General features: G+C 56.8%; 3 protein-coding genes, 1 long non-coding RNA gene and 1 pseudogene across 29 annotated transcripts, besides 10 other annotated features; 3 read left to right on the forward strand and 2 right to left on the reverse strand.

Moving 5' to 3' along the window:
• Positions 19-308: a silencer, noted in NCBI's record as "silent region_7107". NCBI's record gives its function as "represses an Ori minimal core promoter by ATAC-STARR-seq in GM12878 lymphoblastoid cells {active_cell/tissue: GM12878}" and the evidence as "EXISTENCE:reporter gene assay evidence [ECO:0000049][PMID:35858748]".
• Positions 306-14,471, forward strand: MMP25 (matrix metallopeptidase 25). Of its 6 annotated transcripts, NM_022468.5 has the most exons (10): positions 306-761; positions 1,160-1,292; positions 3,754-3,889; positions 3,999-4,291; positions 10,778-10,954; positions 11,055-11,139; positions 11,276-11,358; positions 11,926-12,078; positions 12,157-12,414; positions 12,572-14,471. In NM_022468.5, exons 1-10 carry the CDS (start codon positions 663-665, stop codon positions 12,841-12,843), a joined length of 1,689 nt encoding a protein of 562 aa, NP_071913.1. In that variant the 5' UTR covers positions 306-662; the 3' UTR covers positions 12,844-14,471. The 6 variants fall into 6 exon arrangements, with proteins under 6 accessions (NP_071913.1, XP_024306158.1, XP_016879050.1 ...); XM_024450391.2 differs by lacking the exons at positions 306-761; positions 1,160-1,292 and adding an exon at positions 1,979-2,464; XM_024450390.2 differs by lacking the exons at positions 3,754-3,889; positions 3,999-4,291.
• Positions 1,187-1,766: an enhancer, noted in NCBI's record as "H3K4me1 hESC enhancer chr16:3097443-3098022 (GRCh37/hg19 assembly coordinates)". NCBI's record gives its function as "activates a minimal SCP1, AML or CMV promoter by ChIP-STARR-seq in naive H9 embryonic stem cells {active_cell/tissue: H9 hESC(naive)}" and the evidence as "EXISTENCE:reporter gene assay evidence [ECO:0000049][PMID:30033119]".
• Positions 3,258-3,850: an enhancer, noted in NCBI's record as "H3K4me1 hESC enhancer chr16:3099514-3100106 (GRCh37/hg19 assembly coordinates)". NCBI's record gives its function as "activates a minimal SCP1, AML or CMV promoter by ChIP-STARR-seq in naive H9 embryonic stem cells {active_cell/tissue: H9 hESC(naive)}" and the evidence as "EXISTENCE:reporter gene assay evidence [ECO:0000049][PMID:30033119]".
• Positions 5,870-13,115, reverse strand: MMP25-AS1 (MMP25 antisense RNA 1). The gene is made up of 5 exons (NR_123723.1): positions 12,741-13,115; positions 12,285-12,447; positions 9,481-9,690; positions 8,685-8,777; positions 5,870-7,367 (listed from the first exon to the last, which is right to left on the reverse strand). It is a non-coding gene; the product is annotated as an MMP25 antisense RNA 1 (long non-coding RNA).
• On the reverse strand, positions 7,099-13,115 carry LOC124900372 (sialidase-like). 3 transcript variants are annotated; one of them, XM_047434999.1, is made up of 4 exons: positions 12,741-13,115; positions 12,285-12,447; positions 9,481-9,690; positions 7,099-8,777 (listed from the first exon to the last, which is right to left on the reverse strand). In XM_047434999.1, exon 4 carries the CDS (start codon positions 8,518-8,520, stop codon positions 7,552-7,554), a length of 969 nt encoding a protein of 322 aa, XP_047290955.1. In that variant the 5' UTR covers positions 8,521-8,777; positions 9,481-9,690; positions 12,285-12,447; positions 12,741-13,115; the 3' UTR covers positions 7,099-7,551. The 3 variants fall into 3 exon arrangements, with proteins under 3 accessions (XP_047290955.1, XP_047290954.1, XP_047290956.1); XM_047434998.1 differs by having other exon boundaries at positions 10,795-12,447; XM_047435000.1 differs by lacking the exon at positions 12,285-12,447.
• Positions 11,985-12,034: a silencer, noted in NCBI's record as "silent region_7108". NCBI's record gives its function as "represses an Ori minimal core promoter by ATAC-STARR-seq in GM12878 lymphoblastoid cells {active_cell/tissue: GM12878}" and the evidence as "EXISTENCE:reporter gene assay evidence [ECO:0000049][PMID:35858748]".
• Positions 12,065-12,194: a silencer, noted in NCBI's record as "silent region_7109". NCBI's record gives its function as "represses an Ori minimal core promoter by ATAC-STARR-seq in GM12878 lymphoblastoid cells {active_cell/tissue: GM12878}" and the evidence as "EXISTENCE:reporter gene assay evidence [ECO:0000049][PMID:35858748]".
• Positions 12,335-12,384: a silencer, noted in NCBI's record as "silent region_7110". NCBI's record gives its function as "represses an Ori minimal core promoter by ATAC-STARR-seq in GM12878 lymphoblastoid cells {active_cell/tissue: GM12878}" and the evidence as "EXISTENCE:reporter gene assay evidence [ECO:0000049][PMID:35858748]".
• Positions 12,845-13,314: a silencer, noted in NCBI's record as "silent region_7111". NCBI's record gives its function as "represses an Ori minimal core promoter by ATAC-STARR-seq in GM12878 lymphoblastoid cells {active_cell/tissue: GM12878}" and the evidence as "EXISTENCE:reporter gene assay evidence [ECO:0000049][PMID:35858748]".
• Positions 13,353-14,258: an enhancer, noted in NCBI's record as "H3K27ac-H3K4me1 hESC enhancer chr16:3109609-3110514 (GRCh37/hg19 assembly coordinates)". NCBI's record gives its function as "activates a minimal SCP1, AML or CMV promoter by ChIP-STARR-seq in naive and primed H9 embryonic stem cells {active_cell/tissue: H9 hESC(naive and primed)}" and the evidence as "EXISTENCE:reporter gene assay evidence [ECO:0000049][PMID:30033119]".
• Positions 18,879-19,188: an enhancer, noted in NCBI's record as "active region_10295". NCBI's record gives its function as "activates an Ori minimal core promoter by ATAC-STARR-seq in GM12878 lymphoblastoid cells {active_cell/tissue: GM12878}" and the evidence as "EXISTENCE:reporter gene assay evidence [ECO:0000049][PMID:35858748]".
• IL32 (interleukin 32) lies at positions 19,148-23,275 on the forward strand. Of its 19 annotated transcripts, none has more exons than NM_001012631.4 (8): positions 19,148-19,239; positions 19,366-19,432; positions 19,529-19,571; positions 21,122-21,160; positions 21,299-21,358; positions 21,729-21,755; positions 21,925-21,984; positions 22,735-23,275. In NM_001012631.4, exons 3-8 carry the CDS (start codon positions 19,557-19,559, stop codon positions 23,098-23,100), a joined length of 567 nt encoding a protein of 188 aa, NP_001012649.1. In that variant the 5' UTR covers positions 19,148-19,239; positions 19,366-19,432; positions 19,529-19,556; the 3' UTR covers positions 23,101-23,275. The 19 variants fall into 19 exon arrangements, with proteins under 19 accessions (NP_001012649.1, NP_001356518.1, NP_001012651.1 ...); NM_001369589.3 differs by having other exon boundaries at positions 19,387-19,432; NM_001012633.4 differs by lacking the exon at positions 19,366-19,432 and having other exon boundaries at positions 22,735-22,854; positions 23,026-23,275.
• Positions 21,527-22,046: an enhancer, noted in NCBI's record as "H3K4me1 hESC enhancer chr16:3117783-3118302 (GRCh37/hg19 assembly coordinates)". NCBI's record gives its function as "activates a minimal SCP1, AML or CMV promoter by ChIP-STARR-seq in primed H9 embryonic stem cells {active_cell/tissue: H9 hESC(primed)}" and the evidence as "EXISTENCE:reporter gene assay evidence [ECO:0000049][PMID:30033119]".
• On the forward strand, positions 23,268-23,396 carry RNU1-125P (RNA, U1 small nuclear 125, pseudogene; annotated as a pseudogene).

Genomic DNA, 23,402 nt, shown 5'->3' on the forward strand with positions numbered 1-23,402 from the left:
GGCTGAGCCGAAGGCCCGGGCCGCCCTCCCCCAGGCCGCGCGGCTTCGAGAAAGCAGAAGCGAGCCCTGCCCCGGGGAGTCCCACAGGAGCGGGGATCTGGGAAGAGAAACTTGCGGACGAGGGAGTTAGAGCCGTGGACCCCCGGCCCCCGCCCGGGCGTCCTGCGTCGGAGGAGGGTCTCTGGGTCGGGCAGGGGCCACCTCTTGGCCCGCCCCTTGTCGCTGGACGTCCGAAGATTGGGCCATTTCCCTTGCCGCGCCCTTACCGCATATCGGGGTGCGCCCGGCCCGGCCCGGCCCGCCCCACCCAGCCCTCCGCTCGCGCCCGGAGAGGAGGGGCCGCTGGCGCAGCGCCCCGGGACCCCGAGAGGCCGCCGCGGCACATCCAGACCTCCGCCGCTCCCGCGCCCTCTCAACCATCCTGGGATTCCCGGGCCCACCCGACCCAGCGGCGCGACCCTGGCCCTCCGGGACCCTCCGCTGACTCCACCGCGCACTTCCCGGGACCCCCACACACATCCCAGCCCTCCGGCCGATCCCTCCCTACTCGGTGCCGGGTGCCCCCCGCCCTCTCCAGGCCCGGATCTCCTCCCCCAGGTCCCCGGGGCGGCCCCAGCCAGGCCCCCTTCGAACCCCGCCGGCGGCCCGGGCTGGGGCGCACCATGCGGCTGCGGCTCCGGCTTCTGGCGCTGCTGCTTCTGCTGCTGGCACCGCCCGCGCGCGCCCCGAAGCCCTCGGCGCAGGACGTGAGCCTGGGCGTGGTGAGCGCGGGGTCCGCAGGCTCCTGGGGTCTGCAGAGAGATTGGGAGAGGGAAGCCGGGCCCGGACTCCTGGGTCCGGAGGAGGCAGGGGCCAGATTCCAATATCCAAAGAGTGACTGAGGATGGGGTCTGTGCTCCCGGCTTCTTGGGTCTGTCGGGAAGTTTGGGGCTGGGATTTGGAGCTCTGGAAAGGAGCTGAGGTGCGGAGCTGAAGTCCAGACAAGACTGGCAAACCCGGGACTGAAGCGGGGACCTATGGAGGGGAGCAGGCAGGCATCCGGGGCTGGGGCCCTGGGCTCTGGGTGCCTGGGAGGGGCAGGGCTGCCAGGATGGTGGTGGGCAGAGAGAGCCCATACTTTTCACCCAGCCCGCTTCACCTGCCCCCTCCGATGCCCTAGGACTGGCTGACTCGCTATGGTTACCTGCCGCCACCCCACCCTGCCCAGGCCCAGCTGCAGAGCCCTGAGAAGTTGCGCGATGCCATCAAAGTCATGCAGAGGTTCGCGGGGCTGCCGGAGACCGGCCGCATGGGTAGGTGGCCCCCACCCCTCCCCAGCCCTGCCTCTGCACCCAGCCTGTCCACCGCCCAACAGCCTTTAGACCTCAGTGTGCTCCTGGAACACGGAGCTGTGAAGATGCTGATCTCAGGCCCCAAACCCAGAGGGCCTCAGGCGTTCATCTTTCCATAAGCATTTATCAAGAACCTGGTGGCTCATGCCGGTAATCCCAGGGTTTTGGGAGGCGGAGACTCAAGGATTGCTTCAGGCCAGGAGTTTGAGACCAGCTTGGCCAACAAAGTGAGACCCCCCCACTCTCCAAGGATTTTTTTTTTTTTTTTTTGAGACGGAGTATCCCTCTTTTTGCCCAGGCTGGAGTGCAATGGTACCATCTCGGCTCACCGCAACCTCTGCCTCCCAGGTTCAAGTGATTCTCCTGCCTCAGCCTCCTGAGTAGCTGGGATTACAGGCACGCACCATCACACCAGGCTAATTTTGTATTTTTAGTAGAGACGGGGTTTCTCCATGCTGATCAGGCTGGTTTCGAACTCCTGGCCTCAGGTAACCCGCCGGCCTTGGCCTCCCAAAGTCCTGGGATTACAGGTGTGAGCCACCGTGCCCAGTCCTCTAAGGATTTTTTTAAATTTAGCTGAGTGTAGTGGCATAGGCCTGTGGTCCCAGCTACTCAGAACGCTGAGATGGGAAAATTGCTTAAGCCCAGAAGTTCAAGGCTGCAGTGAGCTATGATTGCACCGTTGCACTCCAACCTGGGCAACAGATGGAGACCCAGTCTCTAACCAAATATACTTTGAGCATCTCTTAGATGCCACGCCCTTTCAGCTCCAATGGTATAGTGATAAATAAAGTAGGTAAGGTTCCTGCTCTCATGGAGCTAACTTTCTCGAGGGAGAGAGAGAGAGACAGATCAAGAACATAAATATGAAAGATAATTTCAGATGGCGGTGAGTGTTTAGAAAAAAATAAAATGCTATTGGCATTGAGGGGCTGGTCTGGTTAGGGCAGGTCCCTCTGAAAAGTGTCATATGAGCTGAGACCACAAAGAGGAGGAACCAGCCATGGGAAGATGTGGAAGAAGAGTGTCCCGGGCAAGTGCAAAGACCCCACGGCACGCAGAAGCTTGTGTGCCTGGAGCAAAAGGAGCATTGAAGAGCTCTGGCGAGAGGCCTCAGCCAAGGGCCCTGAAAGGTGATTAGGGTTGATTCCAAGGGTGATTAGCAACCACCTAAGTGTTCTCAGAAGGGAAGCAATTCAGAACTTGGTATGACTTGCAATTTTTTTTTTTTTTTTTTTAGACAGAGTCTCACTCTGTGGCCCAGGCTGCAGTACAGTGGCGCAATCTCGGCTCATTGCAATCTCTGCCTCCCGGGTTCAAGTGATTCTCCTGCCTCAGCCTCCTGAGTAGCTGGGACTACAGGCATCCGCCACCATGCCCAGCTAATTTTTTTGTATGTTTAGTAGAGACAGGGTTTTGCCATGTTGGCCAAGCAGGTCTCGAACTCTTAGCCTCAAGCGATCAGCCCACCTTGGCCTCCCACAGTGCTGGGATTACAGGCATGAGCCACCGTGCCCGGCTTTGACTTGCAGTTTTAAGCTTCCTCTGGGTCCTGATGGAGAATGGAAGGCAGGAGCCCTGAGACCAGGCAGAAGACGGCTGCGGAGTCCACACGAGGGATGGTGGCAGAAGGATGGGTGGCATATGTGGCCAGAAGTAGTTGGATTCGGGGTGTATATTTTGGAGGCAGGGCCGAGGAACTCTTCTGTGGGGTTAAGTGGGCAGGAAGAGGGAATTTGAAGGATCTGGCTCACTACAAGGAAAGGTAGGCCCTGTGTCTGTCCTGGTGACTCACAAACAGCCTAGAACAGTGTCTGGCATCTATATGTCCTTCATCACTATTTGCCGCCTCAATAAATGAGGCGCAGTTTGACCTTAATTTGGAGATGAGGCTACTGGGGATGGAGCCCAGCTGGGAAAGGGGACCCCAGAGAGACCTAACCCAGGAGGGGGTGGCTTGCCACAGGAGGCCAGAGACCCAGCCGGCCTGGGCACTTTGGACCTAATCTGGGTTTGAGGAGAACTTGGCAGTGATGGTGTGAGGCCTGCACAGCTCCCAGGGGGTTCCAGCCTCAAAGGGTCCTCACTGCATACCCAGGGCTCCTTTCTCCAGAGTCCGCCCACCAGGGCCCAGGGAAGCTGGATGCAAAATCCTGGCCTGAGCCTCTGAGCATCACCTGCATGCAGCCAGTTTGTCCCAGGCCAGGTGACGCCACTCCAAAGGGCAGTAGGAATGGCTTGGTAGGAGCTGGCTTCCAGAGACAGACTGCCTGGGTTCAAACCTGGGCTGTGGGGCCTTCGAGGGCACATTTCTTGAGCCCTCTGAGCCTCAGTTTTCCCATGTAGAAAGTTGACTGGTGCTATGATTAAGGCAGGCTCTCCTATTGTGGACACACCCCCCACCGCCAAATGTCTCCCGCAGACCCAGGGACAGTGGCCACCATGCGTAAGCCCCGCTGCTCCCTGCCTGACGTGCTGGGGGTGGCGGGGCTGGTCAGGCGGCGTCGCCGGTACGCTCTGAGCGGCAGCGTGTGGAAGAAGCGAACCCTGACATGGAGGTAGGTCCTGGGGCCCACCCGCACCCTGGCCCTGCCTGCTGGGCTCCGGCTTTGAATGGCTGCCTGCTCCCTCCACGGCCACCCTTACACCTCACTCCCCTCTCCCCAGGGTACGTTCCTTCCCCCAGAGCTCCCAGCTGAGCCAGGAGACCGTGCGGGTCCTCATGAGCTATGCCCTGATGGCCTGGGGCATGGAGTCAGGCCTCACATTTCATGAGGTGGATTCCCCCCAGGGCCAGGAGCCCGACATCCTCATCGACTTTGCCCGCGCCTTCCACCAGGACAGCTACCCCTTCGACGGGTTGGGGGGCACCCTAGCCCATGCCTTCTTCCCTGGGGAGCACCCCATCTCCGGGGACACTCACTTTGACGATGAGGAGACCTGGACTTTTGGGTCAAAAGGTAAAATCTCCTCTCTTATGAGAGATCCTCTTGCCAGGTCTGGTCTTAAGAATAAGTTTTCTGTTGTGTGTTTTGTTTTGTTTAAGAAACAAGGTCTTGCTCTGTTGCTCAGGCTAGAGTGCAGTGGTGCAATCATAGCTAACTGCAACCACGAACTTCTGGCTCAAGCAATCCTCCCACCTCAGACTCCAGAGTAGCTGGGATCACTGGTGCACACCACCATACCTGGCTATTTTTTTTGTTTGTTTTTTTTACTTTTTGTAGAAACAGGGTCTCATTATCTTGCTCAGGCTGGAGTGCAGTTGCACGATCACGGCTCACTGCAGCCTTCACCTCCTGGGCTCAAGTGATCCTCCCTCCTCAGCCACCACGTAGCCAGGACCACAGATGTGCACCACCACACCTGGCTAGTTTTAAAACTTTTTGTAGAGATGGGGCTTCACTATGTCACCAGGGCTGGTCTTGAACTCCTGGGCTCAAGTGATCCTCCCATCTTGGTCTCTCAAAGCATTGGGATTATAAGCATGAGCCACCACTCCTGGCCAATAATTAGGTTTAAATTATATTTACTGATGGAGGCTTTATCAGCTGGGAGGTCTCCAGAGAAACAAAACCAACAGGATGTGTGTGTGTGTGCACGTGTGTGTGGGATGTGTGTGTGTGTGTATGTGTGTGGGGGGGGTGTGTGTGTGCGTGTGTGTAAAGAGATTTATTTTAAGGAATTGGCTCACGGGATTGTAGGGGATAGCAAGTCCAAAATTTGTACGGCAGGCTGGCAACTCAGGATTTCAGTGACAGTCTGGAGGCAGAATTCCTTCCTCTCCAGGAAACCTTAGCTTTAGCTCTCAAGGCCTTGAACTGATTGGCTCTGCCCCCACCCCACCCCCAGCCACACTATGGAGCATGATCTACTTGACTTAAGGTCAACTGATTGTAGATGTTAATTGCATCTACAAAGACCTTCACCATGGCATCTAGACTGGTGTTTCACCAACCAGCTGGGCACGACAGCCGGGCCAAACTGACACACACAATGAACCATCACAGAGGCCTAGCAGGTGCCTAGCTCCAAGCCAGAGCTGGGGGCTTGCGGAGACGAAAACAAATCTTTACCTGGCAGCTGAGTCAGAAGAGTGACTGGCAATGACAACACCCACGGTGACACAGCTCCACAGAATCCCAGCAGAGGAAGTCCTCAAGCCTGCAGGGGCTCAGAGATGTTGGCCCAAAGCTCTTGGGCAAGGGGAGGCTTCCTAGAAGAGGTGACTTCGTTCCCTCAATATATATATGAATATAGGCCGGGCGTGATTGCTTTCATCTGTAATCCTAGCACTTCGGGAAGCACAGGTGGGTGGATCACCTGAGGTCAGGAGTTTGAGACCAGCCTGACCAACATGTTGAAACCCCGTCTCTACTAAAAATACAAAAAATTAGCCGGGTGTGGTGGTGCAAGCCTGTAATCCCAGCTACTGGAGAGGCTGAGGCAGGAGAATCAGTTGAATCCTGGAGGCAGAGGTTGCAGTGAGCCGAGATCGTGCCACTGCACTCCAGCCTGGGCAACAAGAGCAAAACTCCATCTCAAATATATATATATATATATATGAATATCCACACATACACACTGAGTGACTACTAGCACAAGACAAGACATACAGAGTTCCGCTCTCCCCAGGTACACAGGGTTGAGATCCAATGGGAAAGCAGTGAGCCAGCTGAGTCAGGGGTAAGAGGAGCCAGTGACCAGAGAAATGACCCGGGACATATGAGGCCAGAAGCCAAAACTATGGCATCAGTAGGGAGACTGCAGAAGGCGGCAGGTCCTGGATCACCAAGGACCTTGAAAGCATGTGGAAGACTTTGATCAATGGGGGAATCATTAAGGGGTTTTGCATTCCGGAACTATCATCAGCTTCAGCGGGGGGCAGGGGGTAGGATAGAGGCAGGGAGGCAGGAAGTTCTCGCAGGGTCCAGGCAAGAGATGGTGGAGTGTGGTCCTGGGGAAGGGGGCAGTGGACGGATCTGAGGGAGGTTCAGTTAGGATGGGCAAGGATTGAGATCTGGCTGGATCCTGGTGACAGGGGAGATGAGGCTGGGGCCCTTGGAGGATGGCGTCCTGGTGCTGTTAATGCAGGTGTGAGAGTGGGAGGAGGAGGAGCAGGCTGGCAGAAGGCAGGCACAAGTGCAGGTCTGGGCGGGAGTCTGCAGCGCTCTGGGCTGGCCACACCGGTGGGGCAAGGGAGGTGGAGGATCCTGCCCTAGAGCTTGGTCTCCTCTGTCTGAGGTCAGGTTCCCCAGAGGTGGGGCTCCAGAGGGAAATTCTTGTGCAAGCAGTTTCTCAGGGGCCATGTGCTGAGGGGAATGGGGAGCAGGAACAGCCTAGAAGCTGAGTGAGGATGTGGTCTCAGCTGGAGAGGAGGCTGATCGCATGGGAGCTCTGCAGCAGGGATGGCAATGCCGGGGAGGCGGTCCCGCCTGAGGCCAGGCCCAGCTCTTTGCAGCCCCATATTAACTACATTGGCTGCTGGGGAGCCTGAGTGACGGGGGAAGGGGGCAGCCAGGGAGGGTGCCTAGGCCCTGTGGAGGGCTTGGTAAGGCAGAGGCTGGGGAGGCTGTGTGCCTCAACATTCACATATGGGCTTCGGCTGGGCGTGGTGGCACATGCTTGTAGTCCCAGCTACTCAGGAGGCTAAGGCAGGAGGATTGCTTGAGTCAGGGAGGTTGAGACTGCAATGAGCTGTGTTCACACCACTGCACTGCGGCCTGGGTGACAAAGTGAGACCCTGTCACACACACAGAAAAAGAGAATGTGGGCTTCAAAGCTGAATTCAAGTAAGTCAGGGTTCTTCCACTTGTAATGAACAACTTCCTTAACCTCATTGTCTCAGGTTCCTCGCCTGAGAAATGCGAGGAGAACGGCGCCTGCTGGTGGCGTGGGCTTGCCGATGAAATGAGCCATTCACCCATGCCTCTCAGCACAGGGCCTGCCCTGGGCCGCATACTGTGCATTGTCAGCTGCTGTCGGAGCTGGGCTAGCGGCCGCCTTGAGAGCCAGCAGTCCACGGGGGTTGGCGAGCTTCTGGGAGGAAAGGGTGGAACGTGACTGTCAGGTACAGAGCTACAGAGAACCCCAGCATGAAGGAGTAGGTGGCAGGGGAGAAGGACTCAACAGAGATGGAGAAAGACTAAGCCCAAAGGTGATCAACAACAAGAGTGAAGGAGGAAGTGGTCAGCTGTGGCTGGGGCAAAACAAGCCCAGTAAGTTACATTGGCCTGTGTTTGGTCATCCAGGGACAAAGTGACCTTTTTAGTGCCTGTAGGCCCAGCGCGTTGGGGAAGAATTTAGAATGCAGTGGGGATAGGTGTGAGAGGAGCGGGGGAAGTGAAGATTGAGTTGAGACCACTGGCTGGAGAACTTGACCGGGAAGGGAGGGCAGAGAGCAGCATGGGGTGAGGGGAGGGAATGGATCCAACGAGCGTCTTAGGATGAGGGAGTTGTGAGCGCTCAACACCATTACAAAGAAGGGATCGGGGATTGATAGACTGACAGATGCATGCACAGAGGCAGGTATGGATGCATGCACAGAGGCAGGGATGGATGGACGGACAAATGCATGCATAGAGGCAAGGATGGATGGATGGACAGATGCATGCACAGAGTCAGGGATGGATGAATGGACAGATGCATGCACAGAGGCAGGGATGAATGGACGGACAGATGCATGCACAGAGGCAGGGATGGATGGACGGACAGATGCATGCACAGAGGCGGGGATGGATGGACAGATGCATGCACAGAGGTGGGGATGGATGGATGGACAGATGCATACACAGAGGCAGGGATGAATGGACAGATGCATGCACAGAGGCAGGGATGGATGGATGGACAGATGCATGCACAGAGGCAGGGATGAATGGACAGATGCATGCACAGAGGCAGGGATGGATGGATGGACAGATGCATGCACAGAGGCAGGGATGAATGGACAGATGCATGCACAGAGGCAGGGATGGATGGACAGATGCATGCACAGAGGCGGGGATGGATGGATGGACAGATGCATGCACAGAGGCAGGGATGAATGGACAGATGCATGCACAGAGGCAGGGATGGATGTACGGACAGATGCATGCACAGAGGTGGGGATGGATGGACAGATGCATGCACAGAGGCGGGGATGGATGGACAGATGCATGCACAGAGGCAGGGATGGATGGATGCACAGATGCATGCACAGAGGCGGGGATGGATGGACAGATGCATGCACAGAGGCGGGGATGGATGGACGGACGGATGCATGGCCAGAGGCAGAGATGGATGGGTGGGTAGATTGGACGGACAGATGATGGTAGGTTGTTCTTGTCCTGGAGGAGGTGATCCAGGCTGAGTCCTCACACTGGGCAGAGCAAGAGGCAGGAGGTGAGCATGGGGAGATGCAGCTGTGTGCCCCAGTGCACCGGAAGTTACAGATGACATCGATGTCCTGTCCTGATGAAACAGGAAACACATTTGTCATTTGAGAGTTAGTGGCTGGGGCTGGGTGGAAGCTTGAGGGGCTGTGGGCCTGGAATGGGGCTGAGGGGAGCGTGCAGGAGCTGCCTGCCAAAGCCTGGAGCAAGGATGACAGGAGGTGCCGGGGCCCCTGTGGACTGCCCTCTGGGAATCTTGTGGGGCTGGGTCTGCACAGCTGTGGTTGTGTAACTTCCCCCAGATGCATGGCGTGACAAGGGTGCAGGAAGGGGTGCAGGGCCCGGAAGCCCAGTATGGCCAAGGAGAGACAAGGCAGGGAAGAAGGTGAGAGATGAAAGATATCGCCCTGATTGAAACACCAAACTACCCCCAGTTTCTCAGAAAAAGGACTCAGAGCAACAAGAGAACCTACAGTCGACAGGGAAATTCGTCAGTGCGGATGTGATTTGAGCAAGACCATTGAAGCCCCTGCTGAAAGGCAGGCTGGCAGAGCCAGGGTACCTGGCCATCTACCTTGAAGTCTCTGTGCCTCAGTTTCCTCCTCTGTAAAATGGGCATAGGAGACAGGTTTGGTGAGAAGTGAACGAAAACGTGTTTGCTACCCCTCTTAGGTCTCACGTTTCATGCTTAGACGCTCAGCGAGTGGCTTTAGGGACCGAGAGAAATTTGCTTTTCAGTTCACCAGGTCGTTACCTATGAACCTGCCCTGAACAGTGCTGACCTTAGTTAGAGATGGCCATGAAACTCATCCGCATGGGGTAACTGGGGCCTCCCTGTGGTGCTGCGGGGCTGTGTCTCTGTCTTGGTCTCTTCAGGCCTCTCAGCAGCTGGAGCAGGAGCTGGCAGGCGGCTCACCGGTTGATGAGGAGCTGGGCTTCAGCCGGGGCTGGCGTGTGAATCCTCTGGGTCCTGGCAGTCCTGAGCGCCTGAGCTGAATACAGAGGGAAGAGGCTGGGAGCAAGGCCGGGTGCTGGGGCCGGCAGGCTGTGTTCTGAGAGTGCCTGCTAGAGGAGCTCTGTGTTCCCAAGGAGATGGAGGAAGACCTGGGGTGGGGGTGGTACAGGGTAGGGAGAGGAGGGGCAGAGGCTGTGAACAGGGAGATGGGGGAGGGGGGATGGAGGACTCAAGGGATGTAAGGGATATGGCTTGAGGAGGGATGGGGGCAGGAATGAGGGAAGGTCTTGGGTCAAGGACATGGACCTACATCCCCAGCAGATGGGGGTGGCAAGGGGGAGACGGGTGGGGGTCGCTGACTATAGACTGTAGCTGGGAGGAGGGGATGCTCCCAGGGCTGGGGCTGCCTGAAGAGAATGGCACGCACCTTGTAGGCTCCTGCCCTCACCCCACCGCCCTCTTAAGTTTCTTTTATTTTCTTTTTCTTTTTTTTTCTTTTTACTTTTTTTGAGACGGGGCCTTATTCTGTCCTCCAGGCTGGAGTGCAATGACATGGTCATGCGTCACTGCAGCCTCCACCTCCCGGGCTCCAGCGATTCTCCTGCCTCCCTGCCTCAGCCTGGGACCTGAGTAGCTGGGACCACAGGCATGCGCCACCACTCCTGGCCAATTTTTAAAATTTTTTTGTAGAGATGGGGATCTCCTTATGTTGTCCAGGCCAGTCTTGAACTCTTGGGCTCAAGCGATCCTCCCACCTGGGACTCCAAAAGTGCTGGGTTTACAGGCATGAGCCACCACACCCAGCTCCTCCCCCTCAAACTTCTGTGCACAAAGTGCTCCCTTCCCAGAGGAGGGGCCCCATCGGTGTGTAAGGTGGCCTATTCCTCTGTGTGTTCTCTGGATCTTTTCAGCCCTGTGGTCCAGTGTCCATCACAGCCATGCTGACTGAGTGACTGGAGACAGGGATGATGGAGAGTTCAGGAAGGGCTGGGCAGAGGAGGCTGGGGCCACCTCTGGAGGGTGTCCTGCTGTTCCTGTTGGCCCCAGCTGCACTCGCAGGGCCTTCCTGTGGCCCCTTTCCCCAAGCAGGGGCGGCCGCAGCTCTCACCCACTTTCTCCTGCAGACGGCGAGGGGACCGACCTGTTTGCCGTGGCTGTCCATGAGTTTGGCCACGCCCTGGGCCTGGGCCACTCCTCAGCCCCCAACTCCATTATGAGGCCCTTCTACCAGGGTCCGGTGGGCGACCCTGACAAGTACCGCCTGTCTCAGGATGACCGCGATGGCCTGCAGCAACTCTATGGTAGGGGGAGAGGGACCTGCCGCGAAACCATCATTGCCCCATCCAGTGTCCTCTGCAGCAGGGCCAGGGGACGCACACCTGCCTGACTCTTTCCTCACAGGGAAGGCGCCCCAAACCCCATATGACAAGCCCACAAGGAAACCCCTGGCTCCTCCGCCCCAGCCCCCGGCCTCGCCCACACACAGGTGAGTCCCCCACCAACTCGGAGACCTTGGGTGACCAGCTGCCCAGCCTCAGTGTCCTCTGAGATGGGGATGGTGGGGGTCCCTGCCTTGGAGAAAACAAACCCCCCTCTCTACTCACCTCTCCTTTCCTCCCCAGCCCATCCTTCCCCATCCCTGATCGATGTGAGGGCAATTTTGACGCCATCGCCAACATCCGAGGGGAAACTTTCTTCTTCAAAGGTGAGTCATTTCACTTGGCCTCATATATGTTGGTTTCCTGCCCACTTCCAGTGACCCACTGGGGCTGTGGGCTTACCCTGGAAGCGGAACTTTTTTCTTCTTTGAGACAGGGTCTTGCTTTGTTGCCTGGGCCGCAGTGCAGTGGTGTGATCATGGCTCACTGCAGCCTCAAAATACTGGGCTCAAGCGATCCTCCCACCTCAGCCTCCCTGGTAGCTGGGACCACAGGCACATGCCACCACGCCTTGCTAGTAATTTATTTTATTATTTTGTAGAGATGGAGTCTCACTATATTGCCCAGGCTGGGCTCAATCTCCTGGCTCAGGTGATTCTCCGGTGTCAGCCTCCCAATGTGCTGGCATTACAGGTCTGAGCCACCAGGCAAGGCCCTGGCACTTTTAGCGCTAAAAAGGGAAAAGTCTCAGGCGGGCCAGGATGGGCTGGTCACCCTAGATCCATTGCGCCCTTGATTTCCAGATGGGACCCCTCCCCACCCAGCCACACACCCTGGGGGAGGAGACCTCCTGCTGTCTCATGCCTTCCTGCGAACCCCTTTGTCCCCTGCAGGCCCCTGGTTCTGGCGCCTCCAGCCCTCCGGACAGCTGGTGTCCCCGCGACCCGCACGGCTGCACCGCTTCTGGGAGGGGCTGCCCGCCCAGGTGAGGGTGGTGCAGGCCGCCTATGCTCGGCACCGAGACGGCCGAATCCTCCTCTTTAGCGGTGAGTGGGGCCGGCGGCGGGGCGCGCTGGGGCCGGCGCGGGGAGCCCACCCCTGACCTCCCGGCCTCCACCCTGCAGGGCCCCAGTTCTGGGTGTTCCAGGACCGGCAGCTGGAGGGCGGGGCGCGGCCGCTCACGGAGCTGGGGCTGCCCCCGGGAGAGGAGGTGGACGCCGTGTTCTCGTGGCCACAGAACGGGAAGACCTACCTGGTCCGCGGCCGGCAGTACTGGCGCTACGACGAGGCGGCGGCGCGCCCGGACCCCGGCTACCCTCGCGACCTGAGCCTCTGGGAAGGCGCGCCCCCCTCCCCTGACGATGTCACCGTCAGCAACGCAGGTGGGGAGCGCGGTGACCTGCGGGTTACTGGGCCTGGGGGTGGGGAGAGGGATGTGGGGAATGGGGACATGGAGGCCACCCTGCGGGGATGGGGGTCCTTGGGCATCAGGGAGCGGCGGGGCGGGGAGGGACCGGGACTCAAGCTCTGCTCCTCCAGGTGACACCTACTTCTTCAAGGGCGCCCACTACTGGCGCTTCCCCAAGAACAGCATCAAGACCGAGCCGGACGCCCCCCAGCCCATGGGGCCCAACTGGCTGGACTGCCCCGCCCCGAGCTCTGGTCCCCGCGCCCCCAGGCCCCCCAAAGCGACCCCCGTGTCCGAAACCTGCGATTGTCAGTGCGAGCTCAACCAGGCCGCAGGACGTTGGCCTGCTCCCATCCCGCTGCTCCTCTTGCCCCTGCTGGTGGGGGGTGTAGCCTCCCGCTGATGGGGGGAGCCATCCAGACCGAACAGCGCCCTCCACGGCCGAGTCCCCCGCCGCTGGACCTGGTCGGGGGTTGTGAGGCGCTGCGGAGGCCCCTTGTCTGTTCCCACGGACGGGGGCTCGGGCGCGGACTAAGCAGGGGGGATCTCCCGCGCAGGGGCGGCGGCGGCGGGGACCGGTCGCCTGGCGCTGGGCTCAGTCTCCTCAGGGTCTGAGACCCCGGCGCTGCCACCGGAACCCGCCTTCAGGGGCGCACGCGCGCTGGGACCATGCGTCGGTCGTCGCCCCCGTCGTTCCCTCCCGGCTGCCGCCAGGGGGCGGTCGGACCCCGCCTCCCGAGCCCGGGGAGGGGCGGGGAGGACAAGGGGCGGGCCCGCGGCCTCACCCGGAGGGACGGCAGCCCCGGTCGCGCGCTGGCCCCGCAGGACCTTCCTTTTCCAGGAAGAGCCAGCTTTTCTCGGAGCGCAGTCCTGGGACTCTCCGCAGCCCCGCCCCGCCTGGCCACTGCGTCTGGCATTCCTGGGTCGTTAGAGGACAGGCCTGACTGCGAAGCTGTGCCTTGCCCCTCTCCCACCCGCAGTTTCTCACCCCGTTCTGCTCCCACAAGGCCCCCCTACAGTCACTGCCACACTGGTGGGGACCTGGGACCCAGACCCGGAACCAGCCCAGATATCACCCCTGAGGACCCATGCGCCACGTCCTGGGTGGTGGAATCAGTGGCTGGAGGGACGACCCTTGCTCTCCAGGCTGTTAACCTTTTCCGTTGCTCCCCCGCCACCCACCTCCTCCTCCCCAGGCCACCCAACTTGGGCACCTCCCTGGGCCCAGAACTGCCTTCCATTCAATGGGGAACCCTTCTATCCCCAAGAACCCCTTCCCTGCTTGCACCCTGGAGAGAACAGCTTGACTCCCATCAACTCAACGCTGGTGGAAAGACAGGGACCGAACCCTGGCTCAGGCCTGGTCATTGCCTCCTCAGCACTCCCTCCTGGGAGGCCTTAGCTCTAGAGTGAGGGGTGGGTGGAACCTGGGGGCACCTCGTTCACCCTGTCCCCACTCCCCACAGTTTTAGGATCTAAATGATTGCCTCTGGAACTATTCTTCTAGACTATCCCACATCAGAATCACTGGGAAATTTAAGTTTGCAGATCCCACACTCACCCTGAATCCTCACTCAGGGTGGGGTCAGGAATCTGCATTTTAACTAGTCGCGGGGATTGTGGGGGGCAGTAGCTGGCTGTTTCGTGGCATTTCTGTGGCTCTGCAGTGTTCCTCCACCCCAGGACCAATATGTTCAGGCCACACCGATGGCCTGAACCCCATGGGTAGAGTCACTTAGGGGCCACTTCCTAAGTTGCTGTCCAGCCTCAGTGACCCCCTAGTGCTTCCTGGAGCTGAGGCTGTGGGCGGCTGTCCCAGCAACCATGCGAGGGGTTGCCCCAGTTGCTCATACAAACAGATCAGCATGAGGACAGAAGGCAGGAGACTTTGGTCAGTTACCTGGGAATTCTGGGCTGCCAGGAAACGATTTGGGCCTCTGTCAGTTTCTTTTCCATGTATGAGGAGGGGGAAATTTGTATATTAGAAACTTATTCATCCCACTCAGGACAATAAAAACGAATGTACAAAAAGCCCTTCCATTCTTCTGAGCATTGATGGACCTGGGGAGAAGTGTGGTGGCAGGAACTGGACTGACCTGAATCTCCCTGCTTCGCAGAAGGAATCCATGGTTGATGGGGAATCTAAGAAGGAAGAGTGGGCCCGGGCGTGGTGGCTCATGCCTTAATCCCAGCATTTTGCGAGGCCCAGGCAGACGGATCATTTGAGGTCAGGAATTTGAGACCAGCCTGGCCAACACTGAAATCCCATCTCCACTAAAAATAGAAAAAAAATTAGCCAGGCATGGTGGTGCATGTCTGTTATCCCAGCTGCTAAGGAGGCTGGGACAGGATAATCACTTGAACCCGGGAGAGGGAGGTTGCAGTGAGCCAAGATCTCACGATTGCACTCCAGCCTGGCCAAAAGAGCGAGACTCCGTCTCAAAAATAAAAATAAAAATAATAATAATAAGAAGAAAGAAGAGTGGGAGGACGAAGTAGAGAGGAATCGAAAAGTTGGTTATGGGGCACCCGGAGGACGGACGGCCACTGTGGAATTGAGACTGCCTCATGGCTCCATGTAGACTTCCAGAGCCTTTAAAATTTTATGACTGCTACACAAAAATGTCATGTCAAAGTGATTATTTTTATTTTTTAAGTGGTATCGTTTAAAAATGGCATGGTCTCATAATCAAAATGTAAAACTTTTGTGCTTCAAAGGACATCATCCAGAAAGTTGGAAAGAGGCTGGGCACAGTGGCTCACGCCTATAATCCGAATAGTTTGGGAGGCCAAAGTGGGAGGATGGCTTGATCGCAGGGTTTCAAGACCAGCCTGGGCAACATAGTGAGACCTTGTCTCTACAAAATAATCAAAAAATTAGCCGGGCATGGTGGCAACCCGTGTCTGTATTCCCAGCTACTTGGAAGGCGAAGAGGAGAGAATCACCTGAAGCCGGGAAGTCTTGGCAACAATGAGCCATGATCACGCCACTGCACTCCACCCTGGGCAACAGGTGTGTCTCAAAAAAATAAAAATAAAAATAAAATTGGCTGGGCACGGTTGCTTATGCCTGTAATCCCGCATTTCGGGAGGCTGATGCAGACGTTTGAGAGGCAGATGTCACTTGAGTTTGAGAGTTTTAGACCAACTGGCCAACATGGTGAAACCCTGTCTCTACTAAAAATACAAAAATTAGCCAGGCGTGGTGGCGCATGCCTGTAATCCCAGCTACTTGAGAGGCTGAGGCAGGAAAATCGCTTGAACCCAGAAGTTGGAGGTTGCAGTGAGCCGAGATCGTGCCTCTGCACACCAGCCTGGGAGACCAAGCGAGATTGCATCAAATAAAAAAAAAAAAGAAACACAAAAATTGTCACATGGTACCATTTCAGCGCACTAAGATGGCTAGAATTAAAAAGACACAGAGCATAACAAATGTATCTGGGGATGTGGAGAAACAGGAACCCCCGGGCACTGCTGCTGGGAATGTAAAATGACAGACAATTTGAAACATAGTCTGGCTGTTCCTCAGAAGGATAAAAACACATTTGCCATGTAACCCAGCTATTCTTCTCCTTCATACGTATCCAAGAGAAGTGAAAACATAAGTCTGCACAGAAACTTTTGCGTGAATGTTCACAGCAGCGTTATTCAGAATAGCAAAAAAGGGGAAAGAACCCCAACTTCCTTTGAGGGGTGAATGGAGAAACCAAATGTGGTCTATCCACACAGTAGAATATCATTCAGCCAGAAGAAGGAATGAAGGACTGATCCGTGTTACAACACAGATGAACCTCAAGAACAGCATGTTCCGTGAAAGAAGCTAGACACAGAAGATCACGTAGTGTATAATTCTACTTATAAGAAATCTCTGGGAGAGATGCATCCATTGAGAGAGAAAGTAGATAAGCCCAGACGCAGTGGCTCATGCCAGTAATCTCAGCATTTTGGGAGGCCAAGGCGGGCAGATCACTTGAGGTCAGGAGTTCGAGACTCCTTGGCCAACATGGTGAAATCCCATCTCTCCTAAAAATACAGAAATTAGGCCAGGCTGAGTGGCAGAACAAGACTCCACCTCAAAAAAAAAAAAAAAAAAAATTGTCACGTGATACCATTTCAGCCCATTGGGATGGCTGGAATTGAAAAGACACAGAGAATAACAAGTATTGCTGAGGTTGTAGAGACACGGGAACCCTCGCACACTGCTGCTGGGAATGTAAAATGACAGACATTTTGAAAAATAGTCTGGCTGTTCCTCAAAAGGATAAAAACACATTTACCATGTAACCCAGCTATTCTTCTGCTTCATACATATGAAGTGAAAACATACGTCTGCACAGAAACTTGTACGTGAATGTTCATAGCAGCATTATTCGGAATTAGCCAAAAAGTGGAAAGAACCCAAATGTCCTTCGAGGGGTGAATGGAGAAACCAAATGTGGTCTATCCACACAGTAGAATATTATTCAGCCAGAAAAAGGAATGAAGGAATAATGCGTGTTACAACACGGATGAACCTCAAGAATAGCATGTTCAGTGAAAGAAGCTAGACACAGAAGATCACCTAGTGTATAATTCTACTTATAGGAAATGTCTGGGAGAGAGGCATCCATTGAGAGAGAAAGTAGATGAGGCCAGACACAGTGGCTCATGCCTGTAATCCCAGCACTTTGGGAGGCCAAGGCGGGCAGATCACTTGAGGTCAGGAGTTCGAGACTCCTTCATCAACATGGTGAAACCCCGTCTCTACTAAAAATACAAAAATTAGCTGGGTGTGGTGGCACGTGCCTGTAATCCCAGCTACTCGGGAGGCTGAGTCAGGAGAATTGCTTGAACCCAGGAGGCAGAGGTTGCAGTGAGCCGAGATCGTGCCACTGCCCTTCAGCCTAGACAACAGAGCGAGACTCTAAGAAAAAAAAAGAAAAAGAAAAAGTAGATGAGTGGTTATCCAGGGAAATGAGGACTGGCAGTGATGTCTCAGAAGGGCAGAATTTCTCTTAGAGGTGATAAAAATGTTCTAAAATGGGTTGTGGTGATAGCTGCACAGTTCTGTGCTTTGAATTGTACAGCTCAATGAGTGAATTGCATTGCCTGTAAATTGCATCACCATAAAGCTATAAAAACAGGGTACATACAGTCTGGGTGGATCCCAAGATGTCTTCAGATGGTGGCCTTTGAGAGTCATGAGGGGCTAGGGTTGGAGCTGAAGCCTAAAGCATGACTTTTAGCTGGTGCAGGAGTGGCTTCCTTCTGTCTCCCACTACAATTCAGAGGATACTCAGGGAAAGATCTGGACATCCTGTATGTGGAAAGGCGGTTGCGCACAGTGGAATGGACTCCTAAGTGGCAGGCAGGTGACAACCGTTGTCTACTTCACCCAAGGGAAGATTTCTCCATGGAGCGTGTTTTATAGGTTCTGTCTCTCCGAGTCCCCTTTGAGAATATAATGGGATACATTGCATCCATGCTGAATTCCTAAGCCCCAGGACCTCAGAATATGCCCTTATTTGGAAACAGGGTCTTTATGGAGGTACTTAAGGTACAATGAGGTCACTGGGGTGGATCCTACTTCTTTTTTTTTTTTTTCCGAGGGGAATTTTCATTGTTGTCCCCCAGACTGGAGTGCAGTGGCACCATCTCAGCTCACTGCAACATTCGCCTCCCGGGTTCAAGTGATTCTCCTGCCTCAGCCTCCCGAGTAGCTGGGAATACAGGTGCCGGCCACCACGCAAGGCTAATTTTTGTATTTTTAGTAGAGACAAGGTTTCACCATGTTGGCCAGGCTGGTCTAGAACTCCTGACCTTAGGTGATCTGCCCGCCTCGGCCTCCCAAAGTGTTGGGATTACAGGCGTGACCCACTGCGCCCGGCCTAGGGTGGACCCTATTTCAATATGACTGGTGTCCTTTGGAAAGGGGAAAGGGGGACAGTCACACCCAGGCAGAACGTGATGAAGATGAAGATGGCCATCTACAAGGGCAGGAGAAACCTGAACAGAATCCCAGCTCCGGGCCCTCAGAAGGACCCCACGCTGCCCACATTGACCTTGGACCTCCAGCCTGCAGATCGTGAGGGAAGAGACGTCTTCGACTTAGGGCCCCTTGTCGTGGTACTTCCTTAGTTTGGCCCCAGGAAACCATCCCAAAGGCAAGGGCGTGGTTGTGCTCAGCTGGGGGAAGGGGGCTGGGGGCCGTGAGGAGGAGGTGGGAGGCCCAGCCAGGCTGGAGGGTCAGAACCCGTGGAGCTAGAAGAGCCCGTAGGGGAGCCCCAAGATTGCTGAGACCAGTGACCTTCGGCCCCAGATGGCCTTGCCTTGGCCCAGAAGGGTCAGAAGGACCTGGTCAGCCAAGCTCAGACAGCCGGCAGGATGCCTTCCACCCTGCAGAGGGTCCTATCTTGTCCCACAGGTAGATCTACATCACCACTAGCCACCCCTCCAACGTGCACAGGCCCCTGCCCTCACGGCGCCCCTCTTAGGTCCGGCAGTTCCTGCCTCCTTCTGATCCAGAAGTTTCTCTGGCCTCTGGAGCCGGGGCACACCTCATGCAAGGACAGGGTCCAAATTCCTTTGTCCTTGGATCCCACTTGGCTGACGTCACCTTCCTGTACTCAGGGAGTTTCCCCAGCCAGCTGTCCCGAGTCTGGACTTTCCCTCTGCCCCTCCCCACTCTCAGGCTGGTGGGGTGGGGAAAGCAGCCCATTCCTGGGCTCAGAGACTCCCACCCCAGCTCAGAGGGAGCAGGGGCCCAGCCAGGGACGGACCCTCATTCCTCCCAGGGACCCCAGACCTCTGTCTCTCTCGGGTAAGTCTCCATCTCTGTCTGTCTCTGTCTCTGTCTCTGTCTCTGTCTGTTTTTCACGCACTCAGCAAGGCCTCCTGCCCTGAGAGAGGCTCCGCCCACTACCCCCCACTTTCCCCATAAAACCAGCTGAGTATTTGTGCCAGGAAGACTGCGTGCAGAAGGTGACTGTCTCAGTGGAGCTGGGTCATCTCAGGTGGGGAGTTGGGGTCCCCGAAGGTGAGGACCCTCTGGGGAGGAGGGTGCTTCTCTGAGACACTTTCTTTTCCTCACACCTGTTCCTCGCCAGCAGGCCTTGGCTCCTTGAACTTTTGGCCGCCATGTGCTTCCCGAAGGTGAGTGAGAGGCTGCGTGTGCTTTTGTGGGCATGTCTGAAAACAGACCGTAAGGGTGCGGGTGCCCTCAGTATTTCCCGAGGTGCCTGTGTGTCAGGGCTCAGTCAGGGGCACCCAGCGGCAGGAGGATAGTGATGGGGTGAGAGTGTCAGTGGAGGCGCTGGAGGTCATATGTGTCGGGGGCGCTGGAGAACGGCAGGGGTGTGGATGAGAGGGAGCACCTGTCCCAGGAGCCCTTCACAGCCCGGAAAGCCCGGGGCAGGGGTGGGGCAGGGCTCTGCTGGAAACGACTCGGAGAATGCTTCTCTCAGAGGCCGGCTCAGCTGGGTGGGCCCAAGAGCAAGGCCTGTGTGGGTCCTGGTGTCTCTTCCTCCTTTCCTGGGTTCCCTCCGACCTCCCATCCTCTACCACTGCCCCACCGCAAATGCTAGGCCCACCACACCCTCCAGGGAGCTCTTCGGCCTGTGACAATAGGGGTTTCCATGATGTGGCCTGGCTCAGGTTCAGGACAGTGACCCGGAGGACACATGGCTCCCGCATGTCGGCACGGTGCTGCTTTCACCCTGGTTCCTGGGAAATCAGGCTAGCGGGATGGGACCATCGCTGCCTGAAAGTGTGCAGACAGCTGCCCTGCCCAGAATATGTCCCCAGGCCCTGCGCACTCTGTGGGTGACTGTCACCACTCTATAGTGGGGGAAACCAGGCATGTCACCCCCGAGACTAGGCCCTTGACGTGGGGGCTCAGCGGGGATTCTGTGGGGTGCCTCTGGCCTCTGTGGATGCAGCCACGTGTCTGCAGGCAGGAATGGCCCGGGACCTGTGGGTCTGCATGTTGGCAGTCGGGAAGAGTGGCAGGTTGTAGGGTGGACCTACCTGGCACCCCAAATATTAATCAGCTCATCAGAGAGGAATGGCTGCTGTTACCTTCTCAATTGTCATGTCCCTAAACATTTTTTCCTTGGCCAACTCTCACCTGGGACCATAGTGGTTGTGGGAAACCCAGCTGAGCCAGCCTGCTCCAGGACAGTGTCCATCCTCCCGTGTGTGTACATGGGGGGGTGTGTGTGTGCAGGGAGGACACCCCGGCCCACGCAGGCCCTGCTCTTGTGAGGAGGGGTCACCTAGGCCCACGCAGGCCCTGCTCTTGTGAGGAGGGGTCACCTAGGCCCACGCAGGCCCTGCTCTTGTGAGGAGGGGTCACCTAGGCCCACGCAGGCCCTGCTCTTGTGAGGAGGGGTCACCTAGGCCCACGCAGGCCCTGCTCTTGTGAGGAGGGGTCACCTAGGCCCATGCTGGCCCTGCTCTTGGGCCTGCCCAGCTGAGCCGGCTCCTGAGAGAAGCGCTTTCTGAGTCGTTTCGAGGACAGCCCTGGCCGGTCTTTCCAGGCTGTGAGGGGCTCCTGGGACTGCTGTCTCCTCTTATCCTGTACCTCTGCCATGTGTCTCTGTGTGTGTGTGTGTGTGTGTGTGTGTGTGTGTGTGTGTATAAATTATCCTGGAGGAAAGGTTAAGGTGACACATGGAGACTGAGTGTCACCGTTATTTCCGCAGGTCCTCTCTGATGACATGAAGAAGCTGAAGGCCCGAATGGTAATGCTCCTCCCTACTTCTGCTCAGGGGTTGGGGGCCTGGGTCTCAGCGTGTGACACTGAGGACACTGTGGGACACCTGGGACCCTGGAGGGACAAGGATCCGGCCCTTTGGTGCCAACTCTGCCTCTCTTCACAGCACCAGGCCATAGAAAGATTTTATGATAAAATGCAAAATGCAGAATCAGGACGTGGACAGGTGGGTGGATTTCCCCTCAGGCACCAGGTCACATGTCCCCGCCCCCAGGCACTCCACCCTGTGTGGGGCTCAGGGTGAGAAGGATGAAGAGGGACCCACAGGCTCCCTCACCCCTTACCGTGGGCAAATGCTTGCACCTGGGTGGCAGTGAGTGGGCGGGTGGGGGATCTGGACGCCCGGGGAGACTGAGGGAGGCATCCAAGCCCCAGGGCTCCTTGAGGAAACAACAGGGGTGCCAGACGTGGCCCGGGCCCCTGGCTGGGCCCAGTTCGGGGTGTGTGGGAGCTGAGGACTCACTGGGCTTGAGGACTGACTGATGTGGGGTGCAGAGGAGGCTTGGGCCTGGAACCGAGTGCTTTGTTCCTAACAGGTGATGTCGAGCCTGGCAGAGCTGGAGGTGAGCCGTGGCCTCCCCCTCCACCAAGCTTAGTCCCTGGGTCTTAGGCTCCACAGGACACTGGGTCTGGGCCCCGGGTCCCCTTGGGAATCACCTGGACCAGTGGGGGCCACAGTGGGAAGGGGGCAGGCAGGAGCAGCATGAACCCCCTGTGCCCTCCTCTCCCCAGGACGACTTCAAAGAGGGCTACCTGGAGACAGTGGCGGCTTATTATGAGGAGCAGCACCCAGTGAGTATGACACACCCATCTGGGCACCTTGCCTTCCTTCACCTCTGCCCTGTCTTTTCTTTCTTTCTTTCTTTTTGTTTATTTGAGACAGAGTCTCGCTCTGTCGCCCAGGCTGGAGTGCAGTGGCATGATCTTGGCTCACTGCAACCTCCAAATCTCGGGTTTAAGTGATTCTCCTGCCTCAGCCTGACAAGTAGTTGGGACTACAGGCACCCGCCACCACTCCAGGCTGATTTTTTTTGTGTGTGTTTTTAGTAGAGACCAGGTTTCACCATGTTTGCCAGGCTGGTCTTGAACTCCTAACCTTGTGTTCCGTCTGCCTTGGCCTCCCAAAGTGCTGAGATTACAGGCATGAGCCACCGGGCCCAGCCAACCCCTGCCCTGTCTTGATGTGGTGTGGGCAGGGTGTGCCCAGCCCCTGAGCTTGGGGTGGAGGGCTGGGAGTGACAGCCTAGCTGGGACCTGCCCATGGCCTCACTCCTCACACAGTGGCACAGCCCTCAAGGCACGATGAGGGCCCTGACCTGGTGACCAAGCAGACACACCCATCCTGTCACTGCCATGGAGGTGAATGCAGAGGAGGGGGACTCTGGGAAAAGTCCCTCTTGCCCACGGGGCTGTGGTTGGGAAACCAACACCTGTGGGCCTCCGTCTCCCAGGGTCAGGAAAAGGCTGAGAGGCCTGGGTGTGGCCAGGGCCTGGGGCTGACACCCCCACCTACAGACCCTGAATGGTGCTCCCATTCCACAGGAGCTCACTCCTCTACTTGAAAAAGAAAGAGATGGATTACGGTGCCGAGGCAACAGATCCCCTGTCCCGGATGTTGAGGATCCCGCAACCGAGGAGCCTGGGGAGAGCTTTTGTGACAAGGTCATGAGATGGTTCCAGGCCATGCTGCAGCGGCTGCAGACCTGGTGGCACGGGGTTCTGGCCTGGGTGAAGGAGAAGGTGGTGGCCCTGGTCCATGCAGTGCAGGCCCTCTGGAAACAGTTCCAGAGTTTCTGCTGCTCTCTGTCAGAGCTCTTCATGTCCTCTTTCCAGTCCTACGGAGCCCCACGGGGGGACAAGGAGGAGCTGACACCCCAGAAGTGCTCTGAACCCCAATCCTCAAAATGAAGATACTGACACCACCTTTGCCCTCCCCGTCACCGCGCACCCACCCTGACCCCTCCCTCAGCTGTCCTGTGCCCCGCCCTCTCCCGCACACTCAGTCCCCCTGCCTGGCGTTCCTGCCGCAGCTCTGACCTGGTGCTGTCGCCCTGGCATCTTAATAAAACCTGCTTATACTTCCCTGGCAGGGGAGATACCATGATCGCGGAGGTGGGTTTCCCAGGGCAAGGCTGATCTGTTGCCGTATTAGTCCGTTTTCACACAGCTATAAAGAATGCCTGAGACTGGGTGATGTATAAAGAAAAGAA

The sequence above is a fragment of the Homo sapiens genome, chromosome 16, assembly GCF_000001405.40.
Source record: "Homo sapiens chromosome 16, GRCh38.p14 Primary Assembly".
Taxonomy (NCBI): Eukaryota; Metazoa; Chordata; class Mammalia; order Primates; family Hominidae; genus Homo; species Homo sapiens.